This window comes from Homo sapiens, chromosome 1 (assembly GCF_000001405.40).
Source record: "Homo sapiens chromosome 1, GRCh38.p14 Primary Assembly".
In the NCBI taxonomy this organism is placed as follows: domain Eukaryota; kingdom Metazoa; phylum Chordata; class Mammalia; order Primates; family Hominidae; genus Homo; species Homo sapiens.
In genome coordinates this window covers 64,856,499-64,881,627 of record NC_000001.11, presented here as the reverse complement: position 1 = coordinate 64,881,627, position 25,129 = coordinate 64,856,499, and the positions used below count along the sequence as shown (strand labels likewise).

Here is a 25,129-nt window from a genome sequence, read left to right as displayed (position 1 = left end):
GGCTCAACAGAATATTGCAGAAACTCATCAATTTCAGAAATACATACTGAATGCCACAGGTTCTTGTAGCTCTCACTGTTACTACAGAAAGTGATGTTTGAGGGCAGTATTGTTTTCTTTCCTGTTTTTCACCTCTGTGGGGTAAAGTTTTGTTTAGTTCTCATTGATTCACCCCCTCAGTAGCTGTGTCTTGGTTTGATTCTCAGCTCTGCATTTTACTAGATGAGTAACCTTGAATCATACTAAATCTCAGGAGACCACAGATTCTTTGTCTGCAAGATGGTCAAAATAGTATTTACCTCATTAGATATTAGGAGGATTAAAGGGTAATACTTTTTTTTAAATTTAAAATTTTAATATTTTTTAGAGATGGGGTCTTGCTCTGTCCCCTAGACTGGAGTGCAGTGGTTCCATCATAGCTCACTATAACTGTGACCTCCTGGGCTCAAAAGGTCCTCCAGTCTTAGCCTCCCAAGTAACTATGACTACAGGCATGTGCCACCATGCCTGGCTCATTTTTATTATTTATGGAGGTCTTGATATGTTGCCCAGGCTGGTGTCGAACTCTTGACCTCAAGTGATCCTCCTGCTTTAGCCTCCTGAAGTTTTGGGATTACAGGTGTGAGCCACCAAACTCAGCCAAAAAATTATTTATTTATTTATTTATTTGTTTGTTTGTTTGTTTGAGACAGAGTCTTTCTCTGTCACCTAGGAGTGCAGTGGCATGATCTTGGCTCACTACTACCTCCACCTCCCAGGTTCAAGCGATTCTCCTGCCTTAGCCTCCCGAATAGCTGGGATTACAGGTGCACACCACCACGCCTGGCTGTGGGGTTTCACCATGTTGGCCAGGCTGGTCTTGAACTCCTGACTTCAAGCGATCTGCCTGCCTGGGCCTCCCACAGTGCTGAGAATATTATAGGCCTGAGCCACTTTGCCCGGCCAAGATAATAAATTTAGAGTCTGTTTGCCTGATGCCTGACACTTAGCCCTCAGTAAATGTTAGTATTATTGTTTTACTACTCAGTACTTTTATATAAAGAGATATGTCTTTGATCTTTCTGTTTATGGGTAGTAATACTGTTAGAATCAGACCTGTGTTAGAATTACAGACAGTTCCATGGTTAAAATAAGTTACACTTCAGATATGTAAGTGTTGGTGCACATTCAAATGTGGATATGCATAAAGAAAGGCTGGGTTTCCAGCCCAGTCCACAAAAGCCACTTTATGAATGAAAATCTATAGCATATTTGAATTATTTGTCCTAATAATACTGAATCCAAAAGCCATTTGCCTATGTTCCCAAGGAAAACTTCCCTTTACAGTTTAACTCCATATTCTCGGTTTATAAGAAAGACTATAACTTCTGAAGGGTAACTGTTCATATTGCTTGAGAAGCATGGATTGAGGTGTTCAGGAGAGCACTAGATAGCTGCCAAGGTATCTGTAGCTTCTTAACTCAGTGTCTGCGTTGGAGAGAGTCCCCGCCTGGGTGTGCTGGGCCAGGGAGGGGGCCCTGTCAGTGTCAGTCTCACTGCAGATGTCCGATTTGGGAAACAAGTGCCTATTACCTCATATTCTCCCAGGTTTTTTGTCATTTAAGTTTACCTCATCTTAGTTTGAGGCCTGGCTGCTTATGAAAATATCAGTAATAGCTGATTATTGGCAGTCATTCTCCCCCCAACCTGCCTATGTTTCAGGTTCATAAAATTTTAATCATGGGCGTAGAAGTGAGTGACTTCATAATCTCCCTGGTCTTTCCCATCATTCTCTTATTGACGGAGGCAACTGGTGGAGTGGAGAGGCAGGGGAGCACTGTTGGGCCAGCTTTGTGAAGCCATATATCTTCTTGCTAGTTGGTTACTAAATAAAAAATATTTGTGATAATCATACAGAGTACTTAAGAAGTATATTTATTATTAATGGTAATAGATTTTAATCACTGACAAAAATCACTTTGGTTATTATTTATTCTAATATGCATTTTGCATACTACTGCCAGGAATTTGTTTGCATGTCTGATGTATAATCACGAGCGTGTTAGAATTGTTTAAGTGCTTTCTGTAGGAAACAGATGGAAGATTTCCCCAACTCCCAGAGTGTTTCCGATTAGCAAAGTGCACATCAGGCAGGATCTGTGAACCTCTCAGATAGGGGTTTTTTTGAAGCTGGATTTGATAAGGCTCTGTGACGGATACCTGTAATGAGAAATATCATCAGAGTTTTATTTTTAAATGATCTAAATTTGGTTTGCCAGGAGCTACAGTGCATATTTCTGGGGAGTCATAGTTCTTGATGATTATGATCAAAACAGCCTGACCGAACCTGGTCGGAAGTCTGTTTGCCCTAAGAGGATATGAGTGACCCAGATTCTTTGTGGATGAGAGAGTTCCTTATCTTTGCATATATTGGGTTTAGAAACAGATGGCCAAATGTATCCGCCTTGATTTTCTGATGTGTTTTTTTACTTTTCCTCAGGTATCTCTCCTCTTTGTCACAACCTCTTTGCCCTGTATGACGAGAACACCAAGCTCTGGTATGCTCCAAATCGCACCATCACCGTTGATGACAAGATGTCCCTCCGGCTCCACTACCGGATGAGGTATGGGAAGTACTGACCTGGTACCTGCCTGGCTCCCTCTGCACTGAGGGACAGTGGTCAGCCTGGAGCCCTGAGTCACTTACCAAGAAGTATTGTAGTCATTTTTGTAATTTGTAACTTTTGTATTTGCTTGATGTGAGAAAGGACTTCTTCAGTATTTGGAATACAATTCAAGATGAGTTTGATCACCTTCCTCTGCCACATTTTAGAAAAGAAATCTTGATAAGGCAGAGGATATTTTGAATAGAATTAGTGTCCTACAGCAGAGTTTTTCAAATGGGTAATCATAGTTATGAATTTAATTTAGTGGATTCACAGTTATGAATTCAATTTAATTTAGTGAATTTAAGAAAAAGAAACAGGAGACGATACTATCAGCATATATACATAACCTAAGTATATTTTTTAAACTTTTGAGATATATATATATATATATATATATATATATATATATATATATATACACACTATATATATAAAGGTCATGATATAAAATATTTTTCTTACTAAAAGTTGCAACTAAAAAGCTCGAGAAACATTGCCTGAAGTGTTAACTAGAAATTCTAGGTTGGCCTTGCTCTCTGGGAGTGGATGTTTTGACTACTCCTTGAGGATTTTTGGCTGTGGAGCTGTAATTTTTCTTCTGATGGGCACCTGCCTTTTCTCCCATATTGCAGACTTTGAGAAATGTCACAGGTGACACAGACAGTCAGTACTTCAATAGCTGCAGTCTCCTGAGTTTGTAAACATATTTGTTCAGTAACTAGAATGGAAAATATGTTAGTTACATACTTGCTAAGCAGAAGTTAATGTGTGTTTAGCAGTGGAGATTATAAATAGGGTGGATCCTTTTTGAAAAGCAGGTTAACTTACAGAGGTATTAAAACAGTAGATAAGCTCAGATGCTAATAGAATGCAGGGATTTGCTAGAAAAGCCCTCTGAAATCTCGGAGACTTCACAGTATCATAGCTACTATTTTTGGGAGAATTTGGTGGAGTTGTCACCATTACACAATGACTGGGATGTTTTTCTCAGTGGACACTGAACCAGATCTAACTTTCTTTGATAATCATCCTAGGGCTGACTTTTTCCTCTTCTTTCTATGCTTAACCAAAGTCTCACCTGGAGAGGAAAGCTGTGTGCCGTGGAGATTTCAGGTCCCAGCTGAGCCTTCTGGCTATTGGCTTTGTTTTTCCACATGTAATCTTGCTTTTTGTGGCCTGGGGATTGGCTGTGTGATCAGCATTGAAATGGGTTGTTGCAGTTTGAAGTCTGGAAGGGGTATGTCCCTGGGTTCTAATTCTTTCCCTCTAGGTTTCTGTACTCAGCTCAGAGTCTAGAATGGTAGCTTTTAGGATTGGAAAAGACCAAAGTTACCTAATTCAACTCTTTCATTTTTTTTTCAGTGGAAAAACTAATACCCAGAAAAGGGAAGAGAGTTAACCCAAAAATTACATCTAGTGAATTGTCTGATTAGCTTTACAATTGAGGCATTGTAGAGCTCTTTGAGGCATTAGTCTTGGTTGTCTGAGTGCCTGGCTATTAAAGGCTGTCTTTGCCTGTTCCCTCTTTCTGTTAGCTGCCTGGAAGTGCAGGGTTGCTTCACTTTTAGCACCTTGACTCTGTACCTGACATGGTGCTTCAACAGGATATTGCTTTGTTACCACAGGCCCTTTGAACTTGGAAAAAAAAAATACCACCCTAAGCTAAAACATTTGCCTGATGACAAACTACAAAGATTTTGAAACCTCATAATCTCACCACTAAAGGAGGCGTAAATGAAAATAAATGTTGGTGATGATTTCAGTGGAGTACCAGTTTTACTTTGGGAAATATTCTTGTATTTCAATTATCGTTTTCTGTTTTTAGATAATGCTTTTGATAGTTGTTGGGTAATCATAGTTATCCTCAGGTATCTCTCCTCTTTGTCACAACCTCTTTGCCCCGTATGATGAGAACACCAAGCTCTTATATATATATCTTAGCATAAGACAACCATATTCTGTATTCCTTTTCAAAAAATATTTTCTTGCTTTTTTAAACAATTGAATTTCACAGTCCATTAAAACATTTTATAGAAGCCTAAAGAGAGTTTGTTGTGTATAATATCTGCATATAAACTTAAAATATGCAGTTATCTGTACATAATTTTCTCAAAAACTTGCAGTGCGTAGCTCTGATTGATGTCTATTTGTCTTTTTTTTCTTTCTCCTTTCTTCCTGCTTTGTTCCTCCACGTCATTTTGAAAAGGAATATAGGCAGGTATCATTCTACATTTATTGATGTCATTTTTAATTTTTTTTCCATTGGCATGCTATAGTATCTGGAATTTTTGTGTACCAGGTTTGATGAGCACCTTTATAATTAATTTTAAAAAGGTGTGTGGAATGTCTGTCTTCAGTGTGTCTTCAAGCTTGGTCTTATGGGTGATAGGGAGGGTACTGATTCTGGTAGTCATGGATTTAAAATTTTGTTAATATTTTTGACATCTTATTAAGGAGAAAGCTGCCGGCCTTATTTTAGGCTCCCTCATCTTCTGTTTACCTTTAGCCTTTGTTCCAGTGGAGAAGCTACACATTATGTTTGGTCTCCTCAGCCTGATGCTGTCTGAGTATCTGACCTAAAGGCTTCCAAGACAAAGATGGTCCCACAGGGCTCTCAGCAGCCTGGAAGAATATCGTTGTTCAGACCAGATTGAAGATTGTGTTCTGCCCAGAGGGAGTTTGTTGGGCCCTCATCTCTACCAGATCCAAGGACTGTTTCTCACAGAGACTCAGTAGGATGTGGAAGAAGAAGGCCGTGGCTCCGTTGGCTCAGGGAACATCTGCCTTTTCCCCTCCTGCCACCTCCCCTGGCAGTGGAGGGTGACCTGTCTCTCTCCTTGGCACCTCATCAGAGATTCTTCTCTCTTGGACAACACCCTCCATCCTCGGAACCCTTTTCTTTCCTTATCTCGGGAAACCTTCCATATTGTACCTACTTCTCATTCTCTTATTACTGCCTTCCTCCGCCATCAAACAGCATTTACCCCTCCTGTTGGCCATTCTGTCAGAACCCCTCTTTGAACCTCTGTAGCTGGTTCACTCCTTCCTTCCTGCTTGTCCCAGGGAGAGGATCGTGGCTAAGTTCTCCTGGGCACGTGTTCTGTTCTACCCTTGAAGAGCAGTGCCAGGCCTGGGTACAGCATGAGTGGCAGCCTCCCTGCCAGCTGATAGCCCTAGCTTTCCACTGTCACCAGCGGAGGGTAAGGGAACAGTCCAGCAGCTTCAGAGGCCTGACGTGGCTCATGCTGCCCGTGGCTCTGCAGATGTGTGATTCTTTCTGTGTGTGAGAGAGACACCAAAGCCCACAGTCAAATTCTCAGTCACTTTCGTAAATTACAAGGAAGATGGGCTGTATAGAATCATTGAAGATTATAAAAATGTTGGTTTTTACCTTTAAAGTAACTTCTTTGTTTATCCTTTCCATGTTAATTGCTACTCCCTGAGTTTATTCATCTTTTGTTTATCTATCAAGCATGTGTTCAGTAGCTGTTAGGTACCAGGCACTGGGATTCAGTGGTGAGCAGGACAGCTGCAGCCTTTGCTTCCGTGCACAGCTCACGGCATTGCTCGAATGATGCCACAGGCATCTGCTTCTCTCTGCCGCTTCCGTTTCTATCTTCCATGGGGCTTCCCTCCCAGGAGAGCGTGCCTCATATGTGCCTGGCTTTCGTTCTTTGCTCTGCCTGCTTTGCATGGTCCAGGCTCTGTAGCCTGGCATTTAATTATTCTGTTCCAGCTTCCCTTCCTTGGTGCTTTTTCCCCTCCTGCCACCTCCCCTGGCAATGGAGGGCGACCTGTCTCCTCGGCACCTCGCCAGAGACTGTCATATGTCCAAGGACAACTTATCCTTTAAGCACAGTGCCTAGAGCACACACTTGTTAGGGGCCCATAAAATGTCTAATTTCACTTAAAATCAGAAAACATAGTTGAGAAATATAACTTGTAATATTTTTTATGGAGGAAGGGAAAAGTGTTTAGGGCCTATGGAAGTCACAGTGTAGTCCTGCTTGTGATACGTGCCCCATTGTGTGTTGCTGGATAGTTGCTGCTGGACCTGACCGGTTGCTCCCAGAGACAGGAACTCACAGAGTACGAGAAACATGCCTGAGAGCCCTCCACATCTCAGGCCCTAACTCAGGGCCTGGCTTGTCTTAGGCTCTGCAAACATAGCACAGTGACAGTTGTTGAAGTGTAGCAGCAGCTTTTTGCAGGGAAAGAGGGAGTTGTATTTATTGCTTCTCCATGACATGGTTCTTTTCTCATTAGTTCATGGGCAAGTCAAGGGAAAGAGACCTAGGTAGCAGCTGAGTCTGTAGCCTACAGATGGCCTGGGCTGGCTTGGCTCAGTCACTTCCCTTAGTCACTTCCACACATTCCAGAAATTGTGTTTTTCTTACAGGTGACAGAGGAAGTTATATATGGAAGGTAGGGTTAGGGGCACCAACCCCCTGTGCAATTGACAATCCATGCATAACTTTGACCCTCCAAAACATAGCTAATAATAATAGCCCACTGTTGACTGGAAGCCTTACCAATAACATAAACAGACTAGTAACCTGTATATATCTTATGTATTCATGATGTACCTTTTTCTGAAATTAAAAAAAAAAAATTTCTGTGCTACACAGTTCGTCAGTTTTTTCAAACTGTTGCAAATCTCCAAAAAAATTTTCAATATACTTATTGAAAAAAAAATCTGTGTATGAATGGACTTCTGTGGTTCAAACCCATGCTGTTCAAGGGTCAACTGTAGTAGTTAAGAGAACAGGCTTTTGTAGTTTTAGGTCACCTAGCCTCTTGGAATCTCAGTTTTCCTCATCTGTAAAATGAATGAAACCTTCCTTGTAGAGTTGCTGTGAAGATTAAATAACATAATATATATAAAGTGCTTGTTAACTCGTTTCATGATGCCTGTAGTGGTGTTTGGGTAGCTCTCTTTTAAAATCCTATTCATCATGTAAGATACACCATCAGTTGAATAGCAGCAATCTGGGAAGTAGGAAACACTGCCACGTAAGCTGTATATCTTGATTGCGTGATGAAACTAAGTTGCAGGAATGTTAAAATGTCAATCAAATTGGTCTTGGATTCGAGGTAGAATGGGCTTAGCAGTGTGGCTGATGGTAAGCGTGCAGGGAGCTGTGGTCAGCATGGAGTTCCAGTCAGCAGGTGTTTCCCTATTCTGGAAGCATAGTGAGAAGTCAGAGGAGCTGTCTTTGTGATCTTCGGGAAGTCACTTTAGCTCCCTGAGTCATAGAGGAGGTGCTGATGGGACACTTCTCACGCAGCGCTAGTAAGAAGGAAAGAGATGGTGAGGGGCTACAAGGGGCAGGGTTGTCTGCCTGCTTCTCAGGGCACTTCAGCCTCCGGCACTGACCACTGTTGGTGAGCCAGGACGCCCTGCCCACATCTGGGTCCCCTTTGCCACAATTGGCATTCATTTTCCTGCCTTCCAGGTTCTATTTCACCAATTGGCATGGAACCAACGACAATGAGCAGTCAGTGTGGCGTCATTCTCCAAAGAAGCAGAAAAATGGCTACGAGAAAAAAAAGATTCCAGATGCAACCCCTCTCCTTGATGCCAGCTCACTGGAGTATCTGTTTGCTCAGGTAGGAAGTTTGGGCCCAGGAGAAGCTGGAGTTTGTGGGATGGGAGAGGCATTGTAGAGCTCAGACCCCCTGCTGCAGCTGAACTTGGTGGTGCTAGAGTGCTTTAAGGCCTGTTCTGGGTAAGTTCTTGCCACACCTGGACTTGCCCCAAGTGAGGAGAAAAAAGGCAGCATTTCAGCTTTCCAAGAGGCTGGTTATCCAGCTTGTGGGCTTTGGGGCTTCCTTTCTTTCCTATTCCTTTCCTTTTCCCCACCTCCTACCATTTTATTTTTCATCCGTATTAATAGCCTTATGTGCAGAGGTCAGAGGGAAGCTCTGCTTGTTAGAAGATGTAATTCAACAGGGCTGAAGAAGGCACTTCTCAGCAGCCGTAGTAATGTCTGGGGAGGAAGGAGATGGCCACTCTGTCACTGGTGGTAGGATAGAAAGATTAGACGCTAGAAAAAAAACAAAAGAGAAGGTAGAATCACCTGAAATTACATTTACTCTGAGATTGCTAAGATTTTTAGTAGTATGCTTCCTGATTTTAACATGCAAATTTAGATACTGTATAGATTTTGAAAATATTTTATGGTTCATTTTGTTTTGTAAACTGCTTTTTTATTCATCTGATTTTTTTTATTGTTTGTCCTTCAAATGTCAATTAAAATATTGATCTTCGTTGTTTTAATGACTTTGTAACAATTCATTTATTCAACAAATATTGACTGGATGTCTGCGTACTATTTGCCTCAGGCACTTGTACCTGCTAAGATGCTGGAGATGCTGGAGTGAACAAGACAGACATGGCCTCTGCATGCATCAGATGTACATCAAGTTAGAAAACAAGCAAATAAAATGATACATAGATAATACGTAAGAAATTATGGAAAGTACTGTGAAAGCAGAAGCTTGCAATAGAGAATATGGACAGGGGGGTTTGAATGGGAAGACCTAATTTAAATCATATGATCAGAGAAGGTCTCTCTAAGGAGGTAACATTTATAATGAATCCTGAAGAATAAAAAGGAATCTGCAATTCTAAGAGAGGGGTGGGGGACTATTTCTTCCATGTAGAGTGTCTCAGCAGCAGCACTACTGACCTTTTGGCCCAGATGATTCTTTGCTGTGATGGCCTGCCCTATGCATTGTAGGGTATTTACCAGCATCCCTGCCTCCACCCAGTAGATGCCAGTAGCACTCTCTCCTTAGCAGTGATGACCAAAAATGTCTTCAATATTGCCGACTCTCCTCTCAGCCTCAGTTGAAAAGATCTGATGTAGAGGGAACAGAATGGGGGAAGGCCCTGAGGGCCAGTAGAGCTGCAAGGAGAGACCATGTGGCTGCAGACCAGAGGAGGGTGATGGGGAACGAGGCTGGAGAGGCAGGTGGGGGCAGATTGCATACACAGAGCCTTGTAGGAGCTGGCAAGGGGTTATGCTTTAACCCTGAGTGTGGTGGGAAGCCATTTGGAAGGCTTCATTTTATGTATGTTTCAAGTCGATGATTCTTGTTACACGTGGAAAGCAGATTGTGCTGGGTCCAAGAGTACACTCGAAACATACAAGCTGAGAGTCTGCAGCAATGATCCTGGGAGAGAAAATGCTGGTTTGGCCTAGTGTAGCAACAGTGGCAGTGGAGCAAAATGAGTAGATCTGCTGTTCATCTTGAAGATAGAATTGATAGGATTTGCTGTTGAGTTGGATGTGGAAGCTGAGAGAATTTGAGGAATCAAAGATGATGACTGGGTTTCTGTTTTGGGTGATGTCGGATGGATAATGGAGTCATTCCCCACACAGGGAAGGTCTTGGGGGAAGAGGGTGGGGAAGGGGCAGAAATCAGGAGTCCTTTTTCGGAGATGCCTGTGAAACATACAAGTGGAGATTTCAAGTAGGAAATTGAGTAATGAGGCTGGAGTCCAGAGGAAAAGCCGTCATTTATTTAACTTAGTCACCCGTTCCTGGACATTTTCTGTTTTTCTCGTTTTCCCTTTTATGCTATTACTTTATAGTCTGTTGTGAACAACTGCATACGTAGGTGGTCCTGTACACGTTCTGTTTATTATTACCTTAGAGTATACCATTATGTGTGAGATCACACACGTATCAGTATATCTGTGTCAGAGTTATGTCCCACTGTAGGGCTTTAGTTACTAATTGTCCATTATCTCCATTCCATCTATGCCTTAGAACTGCCATAGAGACAACAGAGAAAGGGGACAGTGCACAGCCCCAGGCAGATACTGTGTGGAAAAAAAGAAAATGAACTGGCCATTTTTAGATGGTCTTTTTGGATTCAGCTTCCCAGTTTTGTGTATCCATAGCTGAGATTTATTCTTTACCTTTCCCGGGAGCAGAGGTGTAAAGGAAGAGTGTGCCATACTTGAAGAATAAGCATGGCGTTAGATTGACCTTTTGGAGGCTCAGGAATAAGTGACTTGAGGTAGCTGTACAGTGAATGTTTACAAAAAAACCACAGGCCAACAGGACAGTTTCAGGTTTTCCTTTGCTCTTCACACATTACTGGCATAGATCATTGTTCCTCAGAAGTTTTTGGAATGTCAGTGACCTTTCCTCACCTGAGAGAAACAAGATATCCCATGGTGAAAAGAAGAGAAACGGGAGCAGTGGGAGCCCTCCATCCAAAAACCATTAATCTGAAGTTCTTCAGGGAAAGAGAGCATCTCACATATGCAGGAACACTTCTCCCAGGCTTTGTGCCTGCCCTGCTCCAAGCTGGAGAAAGGCTTAAGAGTTCACACTTTAGTGTTCTATGTACTTTAAGTCATTTGATGAAAACCGAATGTGGCTGTAGCACGGCATTGAACAGTGGTCCTGGCCAGGTCTAGATTTAATCCCAGCCTACCACTTGCTAAGCCCTGGGCCCCCAGGGTACTCAATTCTTCTACTTGACTTGGGGTTTTATAACTGCCTGACGTTAGATACTCCTAGTCATTTATTCTTTTCTTTCTCCTTAGAGTGGAATCTCCAGGAGATCAGGAACGTGGTTTAGTTTATTGCTGTTTCCCTAGCACCTAGAATAACATCTAGCCCATAATTAGTTCTCAATAATTACCAAATGAAGGAGTGACTGAATAGGGGCTGTTTACTGTTTTGTGCCTTAGATTCCTCATCTGTTGGAGATGACGATGTTAACATCCACGTTGTAAGGTGTTATGAGGACTAAATAAAGGAGCCAAGCACTGTGTGGCAGCACTGAGGCAGGGTTTAATCAGTGGGAGCCGGCACTGGAATTATCGTTTTCACTCTGTACAAAGCTGGGCTGGGCACTGCTGGTTAGCCTTGTTTTAGTTTTTGTGTTTAAAGTTCCCGTTAGTTCTTAGAATGCTGTGCACCTCCATCAGTGGGGGGGTATATTTTGGTGACACATTTCACTATGGGAAACTCGAACGGTAGATGTGGGAAAATGTACATGTGGTGATGATGCACTGCGGAACGTTCCCCTTTCCCTAGAGCTACACCAGAATGGAGGGAGAGCCCCATCAACTCTGTACACCCAGCTCCTAGACAAGGCCATCTAAGCATGTTTGTGGAATTCATGCATGATCAGACCTCAGCCCAGTGTCACCTTCCCTTGCTCTGGCGCAGTCCAGGCCTAGTACACAGTGTTTGTCAGCGTCACTTCTATGGCGAAGGGACTTCGTATGTCTGTACTGTTCCCCAGTGCCTGGCATAGTGCTCAGTCAATGTTTTGTTAAATGAATGAGCGGGGGAGAACATCTCCTGAGCCCCTTCACACCCAACTCTGTTTAAAAGAGCTCTGATGCTAGAGAAACTGCCAATCTGATTCGTCTCGTTGCTGTGCTGCGTTTCTAGGCGGCCCCTCCCTGTGTAGTAGCCTTCTTGTCAAGATCAAAAACGGGTGGGCTCTCATGGTTTCTCCCCCTTGCTCCTAGGGACAGTATGATTTGGTGAAATGCCTGGCTCCTATTCGAGACCCCAAGACCGAGCAGGATGGACATGATATTGAGAACGAGTGTCTAGGGATGGCTGTCCTGGCCATCTCACACTATGCCATGATGAAGAAGATGCAGTTGCCAGAACTGCCCAAGGACATCAGGTAAAGCTTCCCACTGGCTGAAGAATTGATTGTGAGGATGGTGGTGTTTCTACATGTTCTTACACATTTCAGCTTAATTACTGCCAGGGTTTGGCTGACCTTTGCTCTCTATGAAACCCAGATCTTCCTTAGAATGTTTACTACATACACGTAGCCTAATTATAATTGTGTCTTGATTTTGGATGTTGGCTGCTAATCTCAGAAATTTGTGCTTGGGTGAAATTTCTGAGCTGAGGATGCCAATAAAATTAGTGGCCCCCAGGCCTTCTCCGTCCCCTCCTTGCCCATGGTGGACACTGTCGTCTATCACTGCATTTTTTCCTTTTGTTTTGGACCCATCTTAAAAATCCTTCTCAGTACAGTTCTGTAAGCAGCTACTACCATCCCAAGCCTGAACTCTGAACACGTTACAGTAGTTCACTACAGAGCTGTTAATTCTAATGTGAGAATTGATCAACTACTATTAAATATCTCAAGAAAATTGCATTTACTTAAAAATATCGTTTGAGATCAAGTCTCTGTGAAGGAATATTTAAGTTCTGTCCATCTATGACATCCAATAGTTTTTTTTCACCAGTGGGCTATTAGGATGGTCATAAATGAAGACAGTCTCATTTTGAAGAAGGGATTTCGTAGCTGCATTGTTTGTGATAGGCGGCGTGCGTCTTCTCATTAGGTTGCTGCTTGTTTCTCCTTGCGCTTGACCAGAGTCTAGAGCAGATCACAGCTTGCTCCTCAGTGATGCAGGGATTGAGTCGATACTGCTCAACTGCTGCTTTCTCTTTTTTCTGTGGCCTTCACTTTGGGTACTTCCTCTTTATTTTTTCATAAGCTAAATTGAAAAATGACAGTTCTTCTCTAATTCTGTTATATTACATTAATCTAAAAGAAAAATAACATTTGTTGAGGATGAATCCCAAACTTCACAATTTTCTACTGTTCTGAAGCCACTCCATGCGGCAGGGATGACCCGGGGCCAGGTGCTGTCTCAGTCCTGGGAGTAACAAGCAGATCAGTCTCCGCATTTGGCCCCCAGTGGACTTGTTCTTTGTTTCAGGGGTACTCAACGTTCTTCTTAACATTGACTCCCGTTCTAGCAGTATATCAGCTTGTTTAGATTCTGTTTGTTGTAGATACTCGCCCACTAGCACCTGGATAGGTAACTAATCTTTCAGCTTACCTGTTGATCTTTTAAATAATATATCTGATTCATATTCACATGGCAAACACTAAGTCTTTTGTATTAATTAGCTTTAGTATGTCTTTCTCTCTCTCTCTCTCACTCTCTCTCTCTCTCTCTTTTTTGTGGGGGTGCTTGGGGGGACGGAGTTTTGCTGTTGTTGCCCAGGCTGAAGTACAATGGCATGATCTTGGCTCACCGCAACTTTGGCCTCCCAGGTTCAAGCGATTCTCCTGCCTCAGCCTCCTGAGTAGCTGGGATTACAGGCATGTGCCACCATACCTGGCTACTTTTATATTTTTAGTACAGATGGGGTTTCTCCATGTTGGTCAAGCTGGTCTCTCACTCCCGACCTCAGATGATCCGCCCGCCTCGGCCTCCCAAAGTGCTGGGATTACAGGCGTGAGCCACCGCCCCCAGCCTTTCTTTCTCATTTTTAAAATAAAAAATGTGATCTGTTTAGAAAAGTTATAAATCAGACATGCAAATAGAACATACAAAGCATTTCTCATCACACAAAATGACAATTGCTCCTAACACCTTGCAGACCATTTTCTAACTGATGCTCAATCCTAGTAACAGTGTGTAGATGTGAGTACTAATGTGCACAAGAATGGTGAAGCTAGCAAGCAAAAATGTAGATGCCCTGCCTTGGTGACCCAGAAAATTGGGCAATACTTGTAGCAATTCCCATTTCAGTGAAATCTGTGGAGCATGTGCTTTGCTTTTCTTTCCCAGTTTCTATTCACCTGCATCTCCTTATGATGGTCATCTTCAGTGCTAACTCCATCTAACGTCCTCTGGGAATAGATCTCCCTTTCCCATTTGGCAACATGTGGATTCATGGACTTAGATTTGTTTCTAAACTATTTTCTCCTAACCTGTACATGAAAAGGAGATGTACTTTTCTACTGTCTTTTAGCTACAAGCGATATATTCCAGAAACATTGAATAAGTCCATCAGACAGAGGAACCTTCTCACCAGGATGCGGATAAATAATGTTTTCAAGGATTTCCTAAAGGAATTTAACAACAAGACCATTTGTGACAGCAGCGTGTCCACGCATGACCTGAAGGTGAAATACTTGGCTACCTTGGAAACTTTGACAAAACATTACGGTGCTGAAATATTTGAGACTTCCATGTTACTGATTTCATCAGAAAATGAGATGAATTGGTTTCATTCGAATGACGGTGGAAACGTTCTCTACTACGAAGTGATGGTGACTGGGAATCTTGGAATCCAGTGGAGGCATAAACCAAATGTAAGTGGCTGTTGGCAGTCGATCAAAGAGAACATTCCCGTGTCACATAGCGTATGCTGTTTATCCTTCTGGAGTCATCTGTCTGCATGTCCATCACTCCCATAGGCTGAGTTTATTTAGGAGACCATGTATCATTCATATTTTATTTCATCCCTGTAGCACAAGGTCTAAATAAGTATTTATTGAGTTATGTAGAGAAATATAACAACATGTATAATACGTAGTAGTATAATAATAATAGCAGATAGTTCCTGAGTGTTTACCATGTGCCAAGTACTTTTCTAAGTATTTTATAAGTATTAACTCATTTATTTCTAAAAATAAAAAAACCTTTGAGGGAAGTATTGCTATTATCTCCATTTTACGGATGAATACAAAGAGGCACAGAGAAGTTAAGAAATTTGCCCAAGGTCATAACTAATAAGCATTTGTGCCAAGAATTGAACTTAGGCCTCTGGCTCCGTGAAATTGACTAATTGATTTTGCTTTATGGGAGCTTCTTTATGAGATATTTATTGGATGAAGAAATAGAGCAGAGTGGCTTAAGAGCATGGGTTTTAGACCCACGTCGACGGGGTTCAGATCCTAGCTTCATGACTTATATGGCCTTAGGAGAGTTATTTCACCTTTATCAGCAGCTAAAAATTACTCCTCTGTTAAATGGAGGTACCTACTGTCTAACTCATAAGGTTGTGAAGAAACTAAACGGCATTTAGCACAAAGCCTGGCAATACAATAAATGTTGAATAAATTATTATAGCCGTTACAATTATTATTACTGTAATTAATAATATTAAAGTAAATGTGGGTGGGTGCAGTGGCTCACACCTGTAACCCCAGCACTTTGGGAGGCTGAGGCAGGCAGATCACTTGAGCCGAGGAGTTTGAGCCTAGCCTGGGCAACATGGTGAAACCCTATCTTTACAAAATATACCAAAATTAGCAGGATGTGGTGGCACGTGCCTGTGGTCCTAGCTACTTGGGAGGCTGAGTTGGGAGGATCGCCTGAGCCTGGGAGGTCAAGGCTACAGTGAGCCATGACCTTGCCACTGTGCTCCAGCCTGGGTGACAGCAAGACACTGTCTCAAAAAATTAAATAAATGAATAAAATATGAGACTCATTTTCTCCTCCTGTTTTATTCTCATGCTAAAACAATAATGCTTGATACTTACTGAGGGTTTTCTGTATAATAGGTATTATACTATGTTAGTTAGCACTTGTCTAATCTCAGAGAACCCTGTGAAGATGTAAGCTATTTCATGAATAAGGAAAATGAGGCTCAAAGAGATGATGTAACTAGTTAAGTAATTGGCAGAGGCAGGAACTTAACCTAGATCTCTGGTCTCCAGGGCTCATGCGACACAAAATATTTTCACTTGTGCAGATATATATTATTCAGTGTGTAGATTATTTCAAGCATGAAATTCGTGTCTTCTCTGGAAAATCCCGACTTGAGTACTGTTACAAAGTCAAGACGATTGGTGATAGGAGAAAGCTCATGTTCAGCTCAGTGGTAACTGGGAAGAGTATGTTATCTGTTTGTGTCAGAGCATGTGTAGTAGTCTGGAAGTGAGGAGACCTGAATGTAGATGCATGTCTAGTGAGCAGTGATTTCCCTTTCTGAGTTTCCGTGCACATTGCGTATTATATAGTTTAGACAGTGTGCTCATTAAGGTCTCTTCCAGATATGAAAGCCCAGGATTCCCTGATACAACCCAGTTCTTTGGTCCTAACCCTGCAGGTGCCAACTCCCCCAATCCTGCAAGTCCAGAAGAGCTGGCTTTCTCTTCCTTGGACCTAGGCCCTGCATAGGTTTCCCAGCAGCACTGACCTTTTACCAATAGAAAATGAAGAAAGCAACTTAACCCTGTCCCTTTTATGTATCTTATCAGGTTGTTTCTGTTGAAAAGGAAAAAAATAAACTGAAGCGGAAAAAACTGGAAAATAAACACAAGAAGGATGAGGAGAAAAACAAGATCCGGGAAGAGTGGAACAATTTTTCTTACTTCCCTGAAATCACTCACATTGTAATAAAGGAGTCTGTGGTCAGCATTAACAAGCAGGACAACAAGAAAATGGTAAGTTTGTCCCAGAAGCTCTTAAGTCTGGATCTGGTGATGAGAGGGAGAATTGCTGAGTTCCGTTCTGCAGCACATGATTTTCAGAGTTCCTGTCCTAAAGAGAAAACAGGATTTTCTTATTGAAGCCAAAAAGTTCCTATTACCAAGGCATTCTCAGTGTTTTAAAGTTACACCGATACATTCCAGTGCCTTTCTTTGGTCTCAGAAATGTGAATCTGCCTTAGGATTTGCTTCCCTCCCAAATACACCTCAGCATCAATATTTAATTCACAAAGCTAGTGGATTTGAAGGAAAAGAAAACCAGCGAATGTCAGTGTTTCCTCCCAAGGGTTCTGGCACGGCCTCTCTGCTGAGCTGAAGTGCAAAGCAGGAAGCCCCACGTTGCCCTCAGGCGAGCCTCGGCCACAGTGGCAGTCATCGATATGGTGTCAGGCACACCCCAGTGACTCTCGGACAGAGGAAAGGGTGTTTAATCTCACTTCCTCTTTTTTGGTATCACTTGAGGACATAATCTAAACAAGCAGGAAGTGGGAACTCTGCCAAAATAAACCTGTTTGTGTCAGGGGAAGTCACAGCCAACAACATGCAGAGAGAGCGGCTGGTGAGACAGCTAGCACTCTTAAGGTGAGTGGAGCCAACACCAGGAAAGGCCACATTCTGCCAAAATGTGGCAGATACTGTGTCACAATGATAACGCTCAGTGCTGAGGAAGAGCCTGGTGATACGGTTTAGGGCAGACAGTCACTCTCTTGTATTCAGAATAACTTGTCTTTCTGATATAACCTTTTGGAAAACAGTTTGGTAACCTGTTAAAAGCCTTGAAAATATTTATATATCCCTCTGTTCAGGAATCTAGAGAATGAATCTATCTTCCAGAAACAATGTGAGAGGCAGGTTATGGTTTATGAATAAGAATATTCATTCCAGTAGTAATTAAAGTGTCAAAATTCTGAAAATAACTTAAATATACAATAATAGGAGAATAGGAAAATAAATCACAATTTGCCTGAGAAGCAGAATATTAGAAAATCAGGTTGCTGAATTTTTTAATGACCTGGAAAAAAGGTCAGGGGAAAAAGCAGGATATAAAACTTTACCTATAGAATGGGACCAGTTTTGTTCAAAATATCAATAGGTATGCATGTATATACACATGCTCTTAGAAAAATAAATATTAACAGCTACTTATTTATGGTGGCATTATGAGTGGTTTTAATTTTCTTATTCTCCCCTCCTTTTTTTTTAAACAAAAAACTTACATTAATTTTATTAGAAAAATATAGTAAAAACAAAGTGAAGAGGGAGAAGTAGAAGAGCTCAGATGGATGTTAATGGAAAGATGCGAAATGGAGGGAGAAAAGAAGAAGTGCTGTTGATGGAGCACATCCTGGATATCAGGCCCCGTGTTATATGCTGCATCCTGGATATTAGGCCCCGTGTCATATGCTGCATCCTGGATATTAGGCCCCGTGTCATATGCTGCATCCTGGATATTAGGCCCCGTGTCATATGCTGCATCCTGGATTTTAGGCCCCGTGTCATATGCTGCATCCTGGATATTAGGCCCCCTGTCATATGCTGCATCCTGGATATTAGGCCCCGTGTCATATGCTGCATCCTGGATATTAGGCCCCGTGTTATATGCTGCATCCTGGGTATTAGGCCCCGTGTTATATGCTGCATCGTGGGTATTAGGCCCTGTGTTATATGCTGCATCCTGGGTATTAGGCCCCCTGTTATATGCTGCATCCTGGATATTAGGCCCCGTGTCACATGCTGCATCCTGGATATTAGGCCCCGTGTTATATGCTGTGCCTGTATCTTGGTCTGTCTTAGTCCTTGTAAGAACCTTAGGGGACTGAGCATCAGCTCTACTTGAAATGAGGAATCTGAGACTAATCAAGAGGCATGGGATCTTGCACAGGGTCACTCAGTGAGAAAGTGGCAGGCACTTGCCCAGCTCTGTCTGGTTCCTGCCTGTGCATTTTGCCTGTGTTGCTTTGGCTTCTAAGGCGTTATCATCCCCCAGAGACCCCGAAGGGAGTGAGGGAGAGGCTGACATGTCCATGATCTGGCTCTTCAACGTGGTGTATGCCTGGTGCACATTTTATGAGCCTGCCCCATCCTGTCCTGTCCTGGTTGACACAGTCAAGTCTAGCACCAACACAAGTTGGTGCACCCATCATCTAAGTCAGAGCTCACCCTGGCCACATGGGCCAATGACTCTATGCCAAGCCACAGTGCTGTGGAGGGAGCAGGAGGAGGGCAGGAAGAAAGAAATACTTGATTCCTCCATTAGTTTGTTTTTCTTTACCACGCTAGCCCTTACTGTGTGTCAGGTACTTCCTATTCTGAGCACTTCACAAATACCACCTATTTTAATTTTCATGTCAACCCTATGGGTGAGTATGATAAGGGGAAACTGAGGCACGAAGAGGTTAAGTAACCTGTCCAAGGTCACAGAGCTGTTAGGTTAAAGCATTTGAAATTGCCAATATTTGACCATTTTGACCTATAAAAATGATGATTCCATATGCATAACCCTACTAGCAGGTGGAGAGGCTGCGATTTGAACCCAGAGCAGCTGGCTCTAGAGCCTGAGCTGAGGGTTGACCACTGCTCCATGCTGCCAGTTTAGAATCTCATGCCCTCGTTGTCCCCTCCCAGCCATGGGATTCCCAAGCCCTTTAATCAGGCAGTGCTTTGAAGAAACCCTGATACCAGCATGTTGTCAAGTCAGACCTTCATGTATCACTTCTCTCTACATCTCCTTGGCATCCCTCATTTCTGTTTAGACTCCTGTTCTCAGGAAATGTAAGTGCAGATGTGGTCTTACTTATCATGTGGCTGGGTGAGGGGCTGCCCAGGCCAGCCTGCCCCTTGTTCAGAGCATCTTGAATTTGCTCTTCAGGGATATCCGCAGGTGGGTGCCTGGTCACACCCGCAAGGCAGTGTGCTCAGTGTGGTTTCTTTTTTCTGAAGTGCCATTCCTATGGTGACCCTGCCCTCTCCAGGCCTCCTTCCTCATAGCCCCAGGCATGCTTCCTTCGGCATTACAGCTGCACTAGGCCCCTGACCTCCCTCCTGCCGAGTGGCTTGTCTCCCCTGCTCCTTTTTCCCTTCACTGTCCTCTCATTTCTGCCACCTGCCTCTCCTTTCTACAGGGCTATGAAAGAGTCATTTTGCCCTTTTTTGAAGCCTCAGATGCTTTTTAATGTTTTTTTGTGAGTCAAAGCTCCAAATCATGGCTTTTGCATACCTTCCCTTGCCAGGAAATGTTCTTGATTGACCTGATAGTTCCTGTCAAATGGGCAGTCTCTTCAGGGATCAATGATCAGGACAAAAGTACCCCAAATCTACAACACAGGTGTCTTTCAGAACACCTTCCTTGATGGAAATCCCCTCCCTCCTCTTCTCCACAGGTGCCTTTGCCTCTTCCCACTCTGAGTAAGACACTCTGCTCTCTCCAACTCTCAGAGCTCCCTAGGCTTAATCTAGCAAACTCTTCACTGGGCCTGGGATTATTCCTAGATTAAAATCCGGGAGTTTCACCTTCTAGAGCAAGTCTGCTATGAGATGAACCACACTGCCTCTGTTTCTTTTCTCCTAAGCAGGAATAATGCCGATTTAGCCATTCACCGTTGAGTGCCAAGATCACGGTGCATGCTTTGCCCCTTCCCACCTCCACTTTTGTGCCTCTGCCACCTTGATTCAGGCTTCCTCTTCTCCCATCTGGACCCAGGGGACAGCTTCTCTGCATGTCTCCCTGCCTGCCACAGCCTCCCCCACCGCGTCACCCCCAACACACACACACATACACACACACACACACACACACACACACACACACACACGGACCCAGGGGACAGCTTCTCTGCATGTCTCCCTGCCTGCCACAGCCTCCCCCACCGCGTCACCCCCAACACACACACACACACACACACACACACACACACAGAGTCATCTGATAGTTTGAGATAATAGATGGGAAAATGTGTTGAACAGTGAAAGTCCTATATAAATGCAAGGGGGATCGGGCACAGTGGCTCACGGCTGTAATCCCAGCACTTTGGGAGGCCAAGGTGGGAGATCACTCGAGGTCAGGAGTTCAAGACCAGCCTGGCCAACATGGTGAAACCCCGTATCTACTAAAAATACAAAAATTAGCCAGGTGTGATGGCAGGTGCCTGTAATCCCAGCTACTTGGGAGGCTGAGGCAGAAGAATCGCTTGGACCCAGGAGGCGGAGGTTGCAGTGAGCCGAGATCTCACCACTGCACTCCAGCCTGGGCGACAGAGTGAAACTCCATCTCAAATAAATAAATAAATAAATAAATAAATAAATAAATAAATAAATAAATAAATGCATGCAAGGGGTATATTTAGTATTGATGAAAAGGTTTTCCCTTTGGGGTTCCCATTGGGTTATAAAAATCTTCTCACTGTGCACCTCCCTACAGAGTCAGCCACTTAAGCTGATAGAGACATGATGTAACCGTGGGAATTTCTTCTCTCTCAACAGGAACTGAAGCTCTCTTCCCACGAGGAGGCCTTGTCCTTTGTGTCCCTGGTAGATGGCTACTTCCGGCTCACAGCAGATGCCCATCATTACCTCTGCACCGACGTGGCCCCCCCGTTGATCGTCCACAACATACAGAATGGCTGTCATGGTCCAATCTGGTTGGTCCTAGAACCTTATCAGTTGCCTTTGGTGTGCAGAGAGCCCGTGTTTTAGTGATGGGGCATGTCATCATTGTTTAGGTCAGGCCAGTTGACCATGCTGCCTGGTACTTGTTGGCTGTCCTCCTTTCCTCCCTGCTGTCCAAGCTCTGGTCAGGCCTTCCTGTAATCTCCTACCATCCTCTTTGCAGCAGCCCCTCAATGCTGCTTCTTTACTTGGATCTCTCTTCATAGTTTAACCCCCTCACCTCTCCATAGCTGATCAAGAAGTACTACACTTTCTGATTTCTTGCTGTGTCAAACAATGTGGGCAATTCAAGAAACACTGAACACAGCTGAGCGTGCTGCCATGTGCCTGTAGTTTCAGCTCCTTGAGAGGCTGAGGTGGGAGGATCACTTGAGCCCAGGAGTTCAATTCTAGCCTGGGCAACATAGCAATATCCCATCTCTAAAATATATAAAAGAAGAAAAAGAAAGATCAGATGATGATCTCAGCATCAGACAGTGTAATAAATGGAATTGTCAGTCAGCTTGTCCCAAGGTGCCAGGTGAACAGTGGGGACCGTGAGGGTAATACAGCCTTAAGGCCAGAAGGGGCTGTGTGGGATGCCTTGTCCCACCTGCATCTCAGAACTGGCAGCCTGTGCTGAAGTACCTCTGGTGATGGGCAATGTGTGAGGCAGCCCATGGATTGGAGCTCTGACTGTGAGAGATGTGCATACCTTTCTGATATGGAGCTGTAGTTGGCTTCTCTGTAACTTCTGCCTACTCACTTGAATTCTGCCTTTTGAGACAACAGGGATTCTTTTGACTTTCTCTTACATATGACAGCCCTTCAGGCAAAGGAAAACAGCCAGCTGCTGTGTTTCTTCTGAGCCTCTCTTTTCAGACCACAGAATATCTGGGGAAGCATCTCTTCTGCCACCTTTCACATGATGTGCTTCTCACCTTCTTCCCTCTTCCGGCTGCCTTGTGGACAGGTAGCTTAGTAGTCACATGGCCCTGGCCTTGAGAGGCTCACAGACTCATAGGGAAACAGACACACAAAGAATGGCAGAGCAAGGGGTTGAGCATTTGAAAAGCGTCTTCTGCCAATGTCCCAGCCATGGTTGTGCTTCAGGGCCCAGGCACTCGCTCTTCCCTTGGCCCAGAATGCCCTTCCTCCAGAATCTGCACAGCCTCCACTTCCTTCAGGTGCTAGTCAGATATCACCTTATCCGTGAAGTCTTCCTTGACCACCTTATATACAATCATACCTCTTTCCCTTCTCCATCCCATACATGTTGGCCACTGCACTCTACCTTATTTTCCTTCAGTGGCAGTTGTTACCTCCTGAGATACTATGTTTATTTACATAACATAACATTTGTTCCTGGTCTGACTACCCTCACCTCCCAGAATATGAGCTTCCCAAAGGCTGGGGCTGCATTGCTCACTGCTTTCTTAGCACACACAGGGTCTGACACATTGTAGGCCCTCAGTGAGTATTTGTTGAATGAATGGATATTTCATGTTTGATGGGATGCTGACATTCCTTGCCTAAAGAGCCTGCTCAGAGTAGGTGGCATTCAAATCTGATTAAACCAAAGAATCAATGATGGCTTGCCAGGCCTTAAAGCACGGAAAGGGTACCTAGATGAGAGGTCAGCACATGCAAAGGCATGGCGCAGTTAGAAAGTACACAATGTCCCTGTCTCTCTAAAACACACGAACCATGGCGGCCCTCTCTCACCAGCACTTAGCAAGCAGCACTCACCTCATGCAGGGATGTATTCAGTCAGTATTCACTGCTCTCTACATGCCAGGACTCACTGGTCCTGGGGATACAAAGAAATGTAAGACAGGCCTGTTCCTACTAACATCTGTCCAGTCCTCACTGATGTATTCTCTCAGTGTGAGCCCATGGTGATACAACAATAAACAACATGGCCTCCAGTTCCCACCCCCATGAGGTTTGTGCTTCCACTGGGCTGGCTAGGGGTGGAGGGGAGGCGTGGCAGATGCTCATCACCAGCCTCCAGAGAGGCTCTTCTGTCTTGAGCTGGAGATGATGTCTGTAGGGAATGCGGGGACAAGCAGGGCTCATTGCCTTGGGCAGGAGTCTGAGTCCTCTTCTCAACCTTGGAGACTCCATCGGTCCTGAGGCCACTCGGTATTTCCGCTACGCTCATGGATGGCATCAGAGGGGACTTTAGGATCCCAGGCAGGGCAGATAGTGTGATGGGGCTGTTAAGACTTGAGGCAGCTCAGGAGAGTGGATAGCCCAGAGGTTCAAAGTCCTGTTTGGTGTGAGCTCTTTCTCCCTTTGCCTACTTCTCCCTCTAGTACAGAATACGCCATCAATAAATTGCGGCAAGAAGGAAGCGAGGAGGGGATGTACGTGCTGAGGTGGAGCTGCACCGACTTTGACAACATCCTCATGACCGTCACCTGCTTTGAGAAGTCTGAGGTCAGTCAGGACACTGGCTTGGACCAGGCCATACAGCCATGAGGTGTCCAGTGTAGCCTGGTTCAGGAGCTGCTGCAGACAGAACCACCCTTGGCAGGGTGGAACTGAAAAGCCTGGGTCTCTGAGAAGATCCCTGGGAGGTCAGGCAAGGGCCCCTGCTCTCAAAAGGAGACTGCTCCCCAGTAGCCAGACCCCTGCATCCTCCCCCTGTAGGGCCCTTCTTCCTTCATGGGACCCATGGTGGGGGTCCACCATGGCTCTGGAAGACAGAACATGACCAGAAAACCAATTCACACCCAACACTTGGAAAGTATAGTGTCATTATTTAGAGTGGTTTATTTAGACTCAGTGCCACCATCATCTCAGACCCAGAGCTATGCCTGTCTACAGCATTCACTGGTACAAACCAGCGCCCAAATGCCACTTCATCCACATGGCCTAACACAGTTTTTTCCAAATGGTAGCTTCAGACACTTTAACAAATTGCCACCCCATCTTAGAACAATGAATAGAGATGTCTTTTAGTGATTGAAGCGTAGCTGAAGCTGGGGATGATGTGAGATACATTCTGAGGGCTAAGATATTCACCAGAATTACTGACTTTGCCTCACTAGACCACAAATGCCTTTGTTATTCATGTAATTAAAAAAACTACAAAGTGGAATATTTTCAAAGACAGTGAGTTTTACAAAACACTTTACATCAGTACACTTTAATCAGTACTGGTTAGGCTCCACATGCATGGGGAGACCTGGGACACGGAGGGGCCTTTGGCACGGAGGGTAGACGCAGGAAGGACAGCTTATTGGCGAACCCCTGGGGCTGGACTCAGTCAAGAGTGGGAGGAGGAAACGGCAGAAGGAACCAGCGCTGCCAAGTGTCCTGGGTGATGCAATGCAGGAACACCACCACCTGCCCAGGCTCTTGCTGAACAGCTGGGCCTCGGGGCTCCGTGGCTCAGAGCCTGTCAGGTTCATTGCCTTCCCAGAATGCTTGCCGTCTATTCATCAGTCATTGGAGGAAGTTTAATGTGTTTACGATGGAGGGGTGCATGAGACAGCCCAGCCTCCTCCTGAAGTGGAATTGGCCTGTGCAGTACCAAGAGTGTCCGTGACTCCCTAACAATGTCACATCACCCGGGGAAAACAGCAGTCATA

General features: G+C 44.1%; 1 protein-coding gene across 12 annotated transcripts in view, besides 2 other annotated features; it reads left to right on the top strand.

Annotated features, from left to right (window-relative positions):
• The window catches only part of JAK1 (Janus kinase 1), a 234,518-nt gene that overhangs the window by 186,119 nt on the left and 23,270 nt on the right, over window positions 1–25,129 (top strand). For all 12 annotated transcript variants that reach the window (XM_047419676.1, NM_001321852.2, NM_001321854.2 and 9 more), the window contains 7 exons: window positions 2,480–2,603; window positions 8,105–8,258; window positions 12,154–12,317; window positions 14,420–14,762; window positions 16,656–16,841; window positions 21,366–21,523; window positions 23,849–23,972. In XM_047419676.1, the coding sequence (XP_047275632.1) occupies window positions 2,480–2,603; window positions 8,105–8,258; window positions 12,154–12,317; window positions 14,420–14,762; window positions 16,656–16,841; window positions 21,366–21,523; window positions 23,849–23,972 (1,253 nt within the window). The remainder of the gene's footprint in view (window positions 1–2,479; window positions 2,604–8,104; window positions 8,259–12,153; window positions 12,318–14,419; window positions 14,763–16,655; window positions 16,842–21,365; window positions 21,524–23,848; window positions 23,973–25,129) is intronic.
• Window positions 19,937–19,986: an enhancer, noted in NCBI's record as "active region_1130". NCBI's record gives its function as "activates an Ori minimal core promoter by ATAC-STARR-seq in GM12878 lymphoblastoid cells {active_cell/tissue: GM12878}" and the evidence as "EXISTENCE:reporter gene assay evidence [ECO:0000049][PMID:35858748]".
• Window positions 20,075–20,620: an enhancer, noted in NCBI's record as "H3K27ac-H3K4me1 hESC enhancer chr1:65326691-65327236 (GRCh37/hg19 assembly coordinates)". NCBI's record gives its function as "activates a minimal SCP1, AML or CMV promoter by ChIP-STARR-seq in naive H9 embryonic stem cells {active_cell/tissue: H9 hESC(naive)}" and the evidence as "EXISTENCE:reporter gene assay evidence [ECO:0000049][PMID:30033119]".